The 13,255-nt window shown below is 45.4% G+C and overlaps 1 long non-coding RNA gene and 1 pseudogene across 2 annotated transcripts; both read right to left on the reverse strand.

The window, feature by feature from the left end:
• Positions 1-7,313: 7,313 nt before the first annotated feature.
• LOC124903955 (uncharacterized) lies at positions 7,314-9,183 on the reverse strand. Of its 2 annotated transcripts, none has more exons than XR_007065673.1 (2): positions 9,043-9,183; positions 7,314-7,534 (listed from the first exon to the last, which is right to left on the reverse strand). It is a non-coding gene; the product is annotated as an uncharacterized LOC124903955 (long non-coding RNA). The 2 variants fall into 2 exon arrangements; XR_007065674.1 differs by having other exon boundaries at positions 7,314-7,537.
• On the reverse strand, positions 11,887-12,493 carry PDLIM1P3 (PDZ and LIM domain 1 pseudogene 3; annotated as a pseudogene).

Below are 13,255 nucleotides of genomic sequence, written 5' to 3' on the forward strand. Positions count from 1 at the left end.
TTGGGATCATCTTTCTGCTATCTGACTGCATTCGGTGGTGTCCACATTTGCCAGTTTGGAAAAAACAAGTACCCAAATCAGATAATGAAACCCAAGGGCTGCCCACTGAAGCAGTAGGCTTTCATCTTCCCTTCCCAACTCCCATTTTTCTAAATCTATTATTGGGATGGAAACACCTAGGGATGGGGACTCTTGGGAGATTTAAACATCAGTAGTCTAGAATAGGTTGAGCAGGGCAGTAGTCTAGAGTAGGTTGAGCAGGGACCCCCTGCTAGGCATGGGGCAGGCTTCCAGGGCTAAGCCCCACACTGCAGTGCAGGCTGTGGACTAGCTTCCCTGCCCCCTGCCACCTGCCCAATGCAGGAGTCTCTGGGCCATGCCATTCCCTTTTGGTGGGCTGGGCTGGGTAGTGCTGCTGGCCTCTGGCAGGCTGGTGGGACCCACAGGAGCTGTCTCAGGGGCTGGACCCTGCAGAATGCAGCCTACATGTGCCTGAACAGCTGAGATTCCATGCCCCACAATTTAGAAATCCATGTAGAAAAGAATTGTTTATTTGAGATTGGTGGAGAAGGATCAGAAGACCATATTTTTAAAACCAATGTATATATATGTATGTATGTATGTATTTTTTATTTAGTTTTGCACCTACACTATACACAGGATCAATCAATTTTAAAAATGAATAACACGGAAACGAGACAGATCTCAATGAAACCCATGTAAGATTATTGATCACATGATTCTTAATCACGCTCTCTCAGGATCTCAAACTCACCAAAATTGACCTGCCTCCTGGATTCCGTGGTGAACAGGCTGTGAGAGTGTCCCTTCTGGTTCTGCTCACAGGCTACAGAGGGCAGTAAACAGGAGGAGAATCTGTCATTGACTCAAGAGCAGCCAGAGACCCTTAGCAGTGGAGGGAGAAATAGGTGTACGGGACTCAAGACCCCTTGCCCAGGAAGATGAGCAGGTCCTGCACCCCAGTTCCTGCCATGGGGTCCAATAAGAGGAACTTAGTGTCAGTGATTTCTTCTTCTGAAGAGAGGGAAGGGTAAGACTAGCCATGGCATGAAGCCTTGGGCAGAGCCCAGGCACACTGAGCAGCAGAGCCATCTCTTGGGTAAAGGGCATATGGACACCCAGAGACAAGTGAGCCATTGCCTGGAGCCTCCAGAGGACGGCAGGCTCATGCCTGGAGCCAACACAAGGAAAAGAAGTCCACCCAAGGGGGTGCTCAAGTCCCAGGCAGAGCCACCCTGTGATTACAGGGCACCCACCTCCCCGAGCACAGCAGAGGGCAGAGGGCTGCAGCTCTGTGCACCTGAGTGTCAGAGAGCTCCACACAATAAGGTCACAGGCAGCGCCCGAGAAACCAAGCAACCTTGCAGTCACCCACTCCCAGGCTTCTAGGGAATGTTTTCCCAGCCAGATCCTGACAGCCCGGACCAGAGCAGCAGGGCCATGGGCCATGCTCACACATGGCAGTTTCCTTGAGTCACCCAGAAAGTCCTCCCCCATCCTCAATCCCAGCAAAATGATGGCCTTACTTCTCACTACCAGCCACGATGAATCTTCCTGAATGGATACATTTATTTACCAAGGAAGGACAGTGTTTTTTCCTCTTTGTGCTGAGTTTGGGGGAAGTTTAGAATATCCCAGGAAATGGAGCTGAGGGAAAAGGTTGGCTTCAGCTCTTTCAGAGAGCCGGCTTGGACTTCTGGAAACTGACCAGCACCTGGCAGGGGGTTTGAAGCCAGGTGGGACACCCATGGTCATCCCAGGTTTCTTCACTTGTTTCTGTGAATACTGCCTTTAGGAAACCAATACAAAAAACAAAAAACAAACAAACAAAAAAACAAAAAACAAACCCAAGCACTCAGGGACTTAGAAAGTGAGAAGACTCATCAAAGAACAAGCATCAGGACCTGGTCTTGTCAGTCCTTCCAGGCCCTCGTTCTACTGAACTGCATAGCCACCAGGGTGCCAGGGCTGCACGGGAACCAGACAGTCACAGTTCTATTGTTCAGTCTCCAGGACAAAAAGAAACCAGAACCTTTACATATCCTGAACGTGGAACTAAGATTTGGGAGTCTTGAGGCTCTAAGTTCAGAAGGGTGATGAACAATGGCCATGACTGAATATTTGGGAGGAGAATTGCTTTCACGTGTCCCCAGAGATCCCATCCACCCCAGTTGGAAGCTGGGGACACCAGCACTGTTTCCCGACTCTTAGCTTAGGCTCAGCTGACCCCGAGCTTCCCCTGCCCCTCCCTGTATGGGAACCCAGCACTCCTGGCCCAGCCTGTGTCTTGACAGTGGGGAGGGAGGCTGAGGGGCAGGCAGGAAGGGCAGAGCCCTGGCACACCTGGCAGTGGAAGGAGAAGCTGTTACTAGGCAGGGCAAAGAGCACAGGGAGCCCCACAGTTCTTCAAGTAGCACTCGCTTGCTCTCCAGCAACTGGAAGGAGCCGATGCCATGCTGGAGACATGGAAATTAACTCACAGCCCACCACCTTCCCCCAACCACAAGACAGCCCTGCCTGAAAGTAGGCATACTTACCTTAAAAAAAAGCTCATATGGACAGGCAAAGGAACTGGCAAAGCTAATGCAATTTTGAAAAACAAGGCCAGGGGAGGTGGCTCATGCCTGTAATCCCAGCACTTTGGAAGGGTGAGGTGGACAGATCACTTGAGACCAGCAATTGGAGACTGGCCTGGCCAACATGGCGAAGCCCTGTCTCTACTAAAATCACAAAAATTAGCTGGGCCTGGTGGCACACACCTGTAATCCCCGCTACCCGGGAGGCTGAATCGCTTGACCCCAGGAGGTGGAGATTGCAGCGAGCCAAGATTATGCGCTCCAGCCTGGGCAACAGAGCGTGACTCTGACTCAAAAAAAAAAAGAAAGAAAGAAAACAATAATAAAGTTGTCCCTATTTCAACACTTTTAACACAGTGAATAAAGACTGTGCCCATAGGCAGAGGGACAGACACTTCGATCAACAGGACAGAATGGAGACCTAAATTAAAGTGCCCAAGTGATTTTTGACAAATGTGCTCAAGCAATTCATGGGAGGAAAGGTGGCCTCTCTGTCACAGGGAAGTAGGGAAATCGCACATCACAGGCACAGCAAGCAGGCAGGCAGAGAGAGAGCTCTTGACCTAGACTCTGAAGCCTCACCATGTACAAACATTCACTCGAGGTGGATCACACACTTCAATGTGAAATGCAAACCTGGAAAATTTTAGGGAAAAGGATTCTAAGAGAAAAGTTAGGTATCTAGGGCTAGGTAAAGATCTTTGAAAGCTTGACCACAAAAGCACGATCTGTAAAGAGAAGTGGATAAATTGGAAGTCATCAAAATAACTCATGCTCTATGAAAGACCCTCTTAAGAGGATGAAATGACTAAACACAGACTGGGAGTCTGATCCAGGACTCACATCCAGAACGTATAAAGAAACTCTTCAATAACTTGATTGGGCCTCCCCTCCCTGCCTAGAAGTTCCCAGGCTCCTGGGCGCCCCCTTGGAATTAGAGAATCTTTCGGGGTCCCCGGAGTGACTTTCCTTCCTGCATGTATGACAGGAAGGGGAACCCAGGCAGGAATTTACAGACACTGTACTCGTCCTAATGGAATGGGCATCTATTGCATGAGACACACCACAAGCCACTGCCCAACAGCAGAGAGACTATGGCAAGGACAAGAGGGACATGCTGCATGGGGCAGGTTGCAGGCCAGAGTGCAGCCATGCTCTGGGGCCTCCCGGGGAGATGGGGTGCACGTCCAGGTGGGAGAAGTGAGCTTTCAGGACAAGAGGAGGGATGGCTTTCCAGGGCTGGGACCAATTCCTTCCTCATCTTCCATCTCTCAATTCCACATTCTTCCTCCTCACTCACCACAGTCATGGGGGCTGAATTTCTGAATTCCTAAGACTCTCCTCTCCCGGGGAACTGGTGGCTGTCCTGCCCACCTCTCGGATGGCTCCTCCCATCCCTGGCCACATCCACCTCTGGATGCTTCTTGCCGTCACACAGTCTCACAGCCAGCCCTGCAACTGAGCGCCCACAGTGTTTAGAATCCTGCAGCCGCTGGCCCCAGGCTTTGACTCCATGGGCTGAGGCCTTTAAGGACATCAGCAGGACCAAGCCAAAGGAGTGCCGCCCACCCAGCCAGAGAACACTGATGCAGGGAGATGGAAATAGGATTTAGTTACTGAGACCTTGTTTACACAAAAATATTCTAAGAGAACTCATAGATTGGAGGGAGTAAACCTGTCTCTGTGGCCCATGGAGAGCGGCTCAGGACAACTGGGGTCATGGAGAGGAGCCAGGAGCAGAGGATGAAAAGCAGGAAGTTTCAATGTATGTGGTTTAAATGGCCTGGCTCAGCAGGACCCCAGGGGTTCCAAGTCCACTCCTGGTGAGGCCCTGAATAACTCGTCTCTGCAGGCAGCAGGGAGCCACTGCAGGTGTGGGAGGGAGGGAGGGTCATAATGAATAGCGGGTTTGAGAGATTCCTACAGCGTTTTCTTCCTAATCTCATGATGGGGTTAGGTAAGCAGCCTCGGCCTCAACCCCGCTCCTGCTGCCGCCTCTGCCCTCAGATTCTGCCTCTGGGTCTCCAGGCAGAGGTGCTGCTGCCCCGGAGAGGGTGCTTGACCTTCCAAGGGTTCCCGCTGCTCAGAGGCACACAATTTAGCATATAATTAGAGCATGGAACAGGGAATACTGTGCTAGTTCCTGGGAAACATTTCTTCTGGGCACAGTCCGCTGCATATGCTGCAATTGCACTCAATGGCCCACCCACAGGCTTTGATATCACAGATCCATTTTAGATCCTTTCTCAGAAAGGAATGGAAAGAAAAGAAAGTTGAATGCAAATTAAGTACACTCTGTCACAGCCTCGCTATCAGGGTTTCCTGGATCTACAGCACATAAACCTTTCAAACATCACACTGACTACAAAGCAGTCATCGGAATGATACTTTTGCCAAATATTCAAAGAAAAGAAGCGCAAAGCATTGACAAAGGTTCCAGAGGGTGCAAAGAAAGCCTTTTTATTGCTAGGCATAAAGCTATCACAAAGCAACAGGGCTGTGAGGGTCCCCAGAACAAATTAGTACATACAAAAAGACTAAGTTGCTCCCTTCCACTGGAGCTAGGAACACCTTGAAAAAAACGAACTGGGGTTGAAGGCAGATAACTCAATTACATATATCTATATCTACACACACACACACACACACACACACACACACACACACATATTTTGCCAGATCTAAAATATACTACAAAGTGTCTCTACTAAAGCCATAATATACAGCACAGCAATAGACCAGCTGACCCATGAAGACTACAAAGCCTGGAAATATCCCAGCTATGTGTGGGAATTTGGTATATGATAAAGGCATCATGTCAAATCACTGAGGAAAAGATGGACTTTTAAATAAATAGTGTTGGGGAAACTAGATGGCCATACTGAAAACAATGAGATTGGGTACACATCTCACATGTCACACAAGATCAAACTCTAATTGACTGGAGATTTAAATGTGGAAACTGAAACCATGTAAGAACCAGAAGCGAACATGAGTAATTCTGTGAAAACCTGGGTATAGAGAAGGCTTTCATCATTATGCTTCAAAGAATCTGATGCACTCACAGAATGAACTAGCAAATTAATACATAAATATTAAGCGAAACCTTTTTACATGGCCAAAAACACCATAAATGACAGCAAAATACAAGTAAAAAATTGGGAGACAATGTTTGCAGCAGATAGGAGGTTAATCTAGCTAATATTTAAAAAGTCTTGAAATTGACGGAATAAAAAGAAAAATGTGAATACAAATGGTCCTTAAAGCATCTCTTTGAATATTTGCAGCTCAGATGCAGAGACCCTAGGGAATCCTGCTGTTGGCCACCTGCAGGAGGAAACGAAAATGAGACTGCTCAGGACTGCGGGGTGAGCCCTACAGTTCTCCCTGGACATGGCCTGTTCAGATTCAAACCCAACCCACACCCCAGGTGTATAGAAGCCTGGTGAGGGCAGGAGGGGGCAGAGAGGGTCCACAGAACGTTCAAGTCCACCAGATGTGGCCCACCCTGAGGGCCGGGATCCCAACCTAGGCACTTGGTGGCTGAGGAAACCATGGTGGGTATTTGGATGACTCTGCCTGGGCCTGTGTCCAAGGATGCAAATGACCACCCTCAGTGATTCCACCAAGGCCAGGGAGTCCTCACCTCGGTCGGGGAGCAGCAGGTGGCAAATTGGAGCCCTGGCTGGGCAAACAGGAGCCTTGGCTGAGTTAGTGTGACCCAGGATGAGTCAAGGCTGAATGAGTTGGGTGTCCAATCCTCTTGCTGGTGGGTGGAGGTCACATCCCCTCAACTGGAAACAGGGCGGGCTCTGAGACAGCTGTGCCCACTGAAGGGCAGGGAAAGATTCACCTGCTGGTTTCTGGCCCAGGACTGAGACACTGGCACCTTTCCCTGCCTGTCTCTTGGGACTTTCTTTTCATGATCCCTGAGCCTCCATGGAAGAAGTCCAACCACCTGAGACCAGCAGGCTGGAGGCCAGGTGCAGGTTCTCTGGAAGCAACCCTTCCAAGGCACGAGTGCAGCCATCCAGGTCTGAAACCAGCCCAGAAACCACTGAAAACCATCATGTGTCCCAGGTGGAGACCACATAGAGCAGAAGAATTTTACAGGAAAGACTTGGGATTTCTAGAAGTATTCTTGGTATGACGGTCATACAAGTCCATAGAAAGACGCACAGGTATTATAATGGTTGAGTTTGTTCCATGGAAACAGTGGGACTAATTATAAATCTCATTAAAGGATATGAGCGAAGACTGAGGACCAAACTCCTGTAGAGGTTAAGTGTGTGTACATAGATCTTCTATTTACTTAGAACTCTTCAGGAAATTTGCATGAGAAATGGCCAATGATTATCTCTTGGAATGAGAGCCAGAGGTGATGAATGGCATTTTATTTTGATTTTACACACTCTTCACTGTATGATCATTTTATACTAAATATGCATAATAGAAATAAAATCTTCTGATAATTATTCACATAAATATGAGATCCACAATACGAGAGATAAAAACATCTAAAAACAAAAGAGACCCAGGAAATTGCATCATATGTGATCCAATCCTATCACTTTAAAATTATCCAAAGGAATTATGCACATTTGCTAAGATTTTAAATAATGTGACTCTTCTCAGTTCTCTATAAGTGTGACAAATTGGAAGTATGACATTGATCTCACACTGAATCTTGTATAAAAACCACGAACTCTAATGCAATGATTTTTATATTAAATTTACTTACATAATTAAACATATCAAGGAATTAAAGGCAGGAGTATTGTCATCTGGAATCAGAAGAGCTCACAGCCATCTCCACTGTTGATTGAAGATTTGAGTGAGGGGACTTAGAGACTGAGTCAGTGGGCTGGGGTCTAGGCTTCACTCCTTTTTGGATCAGGTAACTTTAACTTTGTGTCTGTTTCATTGTTTATTTAGCACTGCTGATACAAACACAGAAGAGCAATTGATCCTCACTGGTGTTCTTCAGGGACAGCTGGTGGTAGGTGAGGGTGAGCTGGGAGGAAGGTGGCATTTTGGGAGAGAAAGAGTGTCCACTCCCCAAGCAGTTTGATTTTCTGGGGCTGTCCCTTTGACACCAAAGATGAGCCCTTACTGTTCTTTTCTATTTCTCTAAGCTCCCTCTGATAATCACAGGTTAAGAATTTTTTTTTGTAATAGTACTAATTATAATAAACTTTTGATTTTACTGCCAATTTAAAAAATTATATTTCATTTTTCTCCATTCACAGGAGCAAATCTGTGAACACATGCTTTGCCTGTATTGAATATGCTCTTGTTCTATGTATTCTGCTTTCATGAATCTAGTTGCGCAGTATTTAATTTTTACCCCTTATTGATTACAAATACCATTTCAAGGAAAGCACAGTTTTTTCAGTCTTGAAGGAGAAAAGGGCTTTCCACAGGTAAGGCAGGTGGGAGTGAGATCAAGTTAGGATGTTGACCAAGAATGGTTTACACAGCAAAGCAGTGCTTACGACTACAAAGGTGCTTGCAGGCATCTGTCTGGAGGTCTCCTCAATAGCAAAGCTCCTATCCTGCCCTTTAGATTAATGCTTTTAGAGCCTCACTCCATTTCCCTGGAGGCTTGGACTTTCTCAATTTTTTCACTTCTGGCCACCTTGTGCAGATGTTTCCAGAATGGGGAATCTTTATTCCTGTTTCTGCCCAAGATCATTCCTGGGTAGTTCTACTATAGTTTGGATATTTGTTTCCTCCAAATCGTATGTTGAAATTTATCCTCAGTGTTGGAGGTGGGGCCTAAAGGGGGCAGATCCTTCTTGAATGGATTTAATGCCCTCCCTCAGGGGTGAGTGAGCTCTTGAGCTCTATTAATCTCGGGGAGAGCTGGTTGTTAAAAAGAGCCTGAACATCCCCTGTCTCCCTTGCCTCCTGTCTCAGCATGTAATCACTGCACAGGCCAGCTTCCCTTCCCCTTCTGCCACAAGCAGAAGCCACTTGAGGCCTCACCAGAAGCAGAGCAGATGCCAGCATCATGCTTTCAGTGCAGCCTGCAGACTGTGAGCCAAACAGACCTCTTTTCTTCATAAATTACCCACTCTCAGGTGTTCCTTTATAGCTACACAAAACAGACCAAGACAAGCTCCCTGCCTCCATTTGTCACAACCGTTGAGACACTTGTTTTCTTGGTTTTGTTTGTCTTAGTTGTTTTTGACTTTGCCTGGTCTTCTTCCTCAGTTGTTATCTATATTTAGGAGCATGTATTTCACAGGGATAAAATATTCACTAACGAATACTTCTATTTTATTTTCACCCACATTTTAAAAAGATACAATTCTCCCTTTTGTAGTAGCAAATGTAGGAGATTTTCATTACTAAATGGCATTTTATACATTTTTCTTATAGGAATTGATTGATGTACGTATTTCTAACTTCCTATATGGATCGCTTCCTCACATTTTCTTACCTTAAAGAATGACTTTTGTAGTTCTTGACAGATGAAAGGGCTTTTCTCAGAGACTGTAGCAGGAAGACAGGGCAGGTGTGGGAGTTCCTTAGAAGGGGAGGGCTGGGGCAGCAAGTTGCATGACACCTCCTCAGCTGGCTCCTGGGAATGAAGACAAGAGGCTGTTTAACTACAGACACACTCAGCACCATGAGAAAGCTAAAACAAACAAACAAAAAGCTACAGGCATATCTTGGAGATATTGCAGGTTTGGTTCTAGGCCACCACAATTAAGAGAGTCACACAAATTTTTTGGTCTCCCAGTGCATATAAAATTATGTTTACATTATATGGTAGTCTATGAAGTGTGCAATAGCATATGTCTAAAACAGTGTACACACCTTAATTAAAAATACTTTACTTCTAAAAAATGCTAACAACCCTCTGAGCCATTAGCAAGTTGTAATCTTTTGGCTGCAGAGCCTTGCCTCAGTGTTGATGGCTACTTACTGATCTGGGTGGTGGTTCTGAAGGTTGGGGTGGCTGTGGCAATTTCTTTTTTCTTTTTTCTTTTTTTTTTTTTTTTTTTAGAGACAGGGTCTGGTTCTGTCACCCAAGCTGGAGTGCAGTGGTGCAATGACAGCTCACTGCAGCCTCAAACTCCCAGGCTCAAGCGATCCTCCTGCCTTAGCCTCCTGAGTAGGTGGGACCACAGGTACATGCCACCATGCCTGGCTAATTTTTAAATTTTTTTTTTTTGTAGAGATGTGGCCCTTCTATGTTGCCCAAGCTGGTCTTGAACTCCTGGCCTCAAATGATCCTCCCATTACCTGAAGTGCTGGGATTACAGGTGTAGCCACTGTGCCCAGCCTGTGGCAATTTCTTAAAATAAGACAATGATGAAATTTGCCACATTGATCGACCCTTCCTTTCACTAAAGATTTCTCTGTAGCATGCGATGCTGTTTGATAGCATTTGACCCACAGAAGATCTTCCTTCAAAATTTGAGTCAATCCTCTTAAATCCTGCTGCTGCTTTATCAACTAAGTTTATGTAACATTCCAAATCCTTTGTTGTCATTTCAAAATGTTCACAGCATCTTCAGCAGAAGCAGATTCTATCACAAGAAATCACTGCCTTTGCTCATCCATCAGAAGCAACTCTTCATCAGTTAATCATGAGATTGCAGCAATTCAGTCTTATCTTCAGGCTCCGCTTTTAATTCTAAGTTCTCTTGCAATTTCCACTACATCAGAAGTAACCTCCACTGAAGTCTTGAACCCTTCAAAGTCATCCATGAGGGTTGGAATCCACTTCTTCCAAACTCCTGTTAATGTTGACATTTTGACCTTCCATGAATCATGAATGTTCTTAACAGCATCTAGAACAGAGACTCCTTTCCAGTAGGTTTTCAACTTACTTTGCCTGGATCCATTAGAGGAATCATGATCTATAGCAGCTATAGCCTTATGAAATATATTTCTTAAATGATAAGGCTTGAAAGTCTAAAACTACCCCTTGATCCATGGGCTGCAGAATGGATGTGTGTTAGCAGGCATGAAAACAACATTAATCTCCTTGTATATCTCCATCAGAGCTTCTGAGTGACTACGTGCATTGTCAATAAGCAGCAATATTTTGAAGAGAATCTTTTTTTCTGAGCAATAGGTCTCAATCACAGGCTTAAAGTGTTCAGTAAACCATACTGTAAACAGATGAGCTGTCATCCAGGCCCTGTTGCATTCACAGAGCACAGGCAGAGTTAATTTAGCTTAATTCTTAAGGGCCCTAGGATTTTCAGAATGGTAAGTGAGCACTGGCTTCAACATAAAGTCACCAGCTGCATTAGCCCCTAACAAAAGAGTCAGCTTGTCCTTTGAAACTTGGAAGCCAGGCATTGACTTGTCCTTTCTAGCTATGAAAGTCCTAGGTAGCATCTTATTTCAATAGAAGGCTGTTTCATCTAAATTGAAGATGTGTTGTTTAGTGTAGCCACCTTTATCAATGATGTTATCTAGATCTTCTGGAGAACTTGCTGCAGCTTCTACATCAGCACTTGCTGCTTTACCTGGCACTTTTACGTTATGAAGACAGCTTCTTTCTTTCAGTCTCATGAACAACCTCTGTTAGACTTCAACTTCTCTTCTGCAGCTTCCTCATCTCTCAGGGTTCATGGAATTGAAGAGAGTTAGAGTCTTGCTCTGGATGAGGCTTTGACCCACAGCTGGTTCCACACCTCTAAAACTTTCTCCAGCCCAGCAATAAGGTTGTTTTGCTTTCTTATCATTCTTGTGTTCACTGAGTAGCACTTTTCATTTCTTTCAAAAACTTTTTTTTTTTGCATTCACAACTTGGCTAAATGTTTAGCACAAGAGGTCAAACTTTTGGCCTATCTTGGCTTCCAACATGCCTTCCTCACTAAGCTTAATCATTCCTAGCTTTTGATTTAAAGTGAGAGCTGTGTGACTCTTCCTTTCCCCCTGATCACTTAGAGGCCATTGTAGGGTTATTAACTGGCCTAATTTCAATATTGCTGCATCTCAGGGAATAGGGAGGCCCGAGGAGAGGGAGAGAGATGGGGAATGGCGACTGATGGAGCAGTCAACACACAACATTTATTGATTAAATTTGCCATCTTATATGGACTTGGTTCATGCCTCAGAACAATTACAATAGGAACATGAAAGATCACTGATCACAGATCACCATAACAGAAATAACAATAATGAAAAAGTTTTAAATATTGTGAAAATTACCAGAGTGTGACACAGAGGCAGGAAGTGAGCACATGCTGTTGGAAAAACAATGACAGATTTGCTTGATGCATGATTACCACAAACCTTCAATTTGTAGAAAGCACAATATCTGTGTTAACTCCTGTTTCTCTGGAATTGTCTCACAAACTTCAGGTTGTCAATGAGAGACTGCTTGGAGGCTAAGCCTGCTCTGAGGGGCTGCAGCTACCCTGCCCCTGGCAGTGTCTTTGACTGCAAGGCGTGGATAAAGCCGGAGATTTTTCGATGGAGCAGAGGCCAGCTGGGTGGTTGCACTGACTCGTGATAACCCTGGTGGCAGTGCTGGAGGCCGGTGAGGTGGTGAAGGGCATGGCACTTCGGACATGGGCCCTTCTTACATGCAGGACCTCCTGGGGTGCAGAGGCTAATTTCATCTTGTATGGATGATGTTCCTCTTCCTCTGTCACCAGAGATGAGATTTCGTGTTCAGATCTGGCCCCCATGAGAGTCATGTCATCTGCGCTGTTTTTTATTTTGTTCTGAGCTTCCCACTGTGCGCTATGGCTGGTATTTCCCCAGTCCATGGCTGTGATTACATCTCTGATACACAAATTAGCTACAGCAGCCTTGTTTCCAGGGGTGACCTGGAAATGGAGAGGATGCTTGAAGTCCTTGCTGCACATGATGCAGAAGCCCCATGGTCCTGGGCCCTGAGGGACTGTCTACTGGGTTGTCATGGCATGGGGACAGGCTTGTAGGACAAGAGCACTGGTCATACCAAGAGAACCTGCTCTGAAAATTGAATTTTCCACAAGCCTAGCTGTAACCCAAGGACCAGTTTAAGCTCATATTTCCTCAAACACACTGCCCTGACTCAAAGACAAACCTTACCTCCAGCTGTCACTCACCAGTCAGAGCTTGCCAGCTCCCAGAAGCTTCTTCAGAGCCAATGTGCTTTCTTTCCAAACAATATCTAACATTTCTCTAATAAAACTCTCACCTTTCTTTTTTTAAAAAAACTTTTAATTTAGGTTTGAAGGTGCATGTTCAAGTTTGTTATCAGTTTACGTAGGTGAACTCGTGTCATGGGTGTTTGTTGTACAGATTTTTTTCATCACCCAGGTATTAAACCCAGTAACCACTAGTTATCTTTTCTGCTCCTCTGCCTCCTCCCACCCTCCAGCCTCAGGTAAGCCCCATTGTGTGTTGTTCCCCTCTATGTGTCCATGTGTTGTGATCATTTAGCTCCCACTTATAAGTGAGAACATGTGGTGTCTGGTTTTCTGTTTCTGCCTTAGTTTGCTAAGGATAATGGCCTCCCACTCCATCCATGTTCCTGAAAAAGACGATCTCATTTTTATGGCTGCATAGTATTTCATGGTGTATATATGCCACATGTTCTTTATCTAATCTGTCATTGATGGTCATTTAAGTTGATTCCATGTCTTTGCTATTGTGAATAGTGCTGCAATGAATATTTGTGTGCATGTGTTTTTACA

The sequence above is a fragment of the Homo sapiens genome, chromosome 17, assembly GCF_000001405.40.
Source record: "Homo sapiens chromosome 17, GRCh38.p14 Primary Assembly".
NCBI lineage: Eukaryota > Metazoa > Chordata > Mammalia > Primates > Hominidae > Homo > Homo sapiens.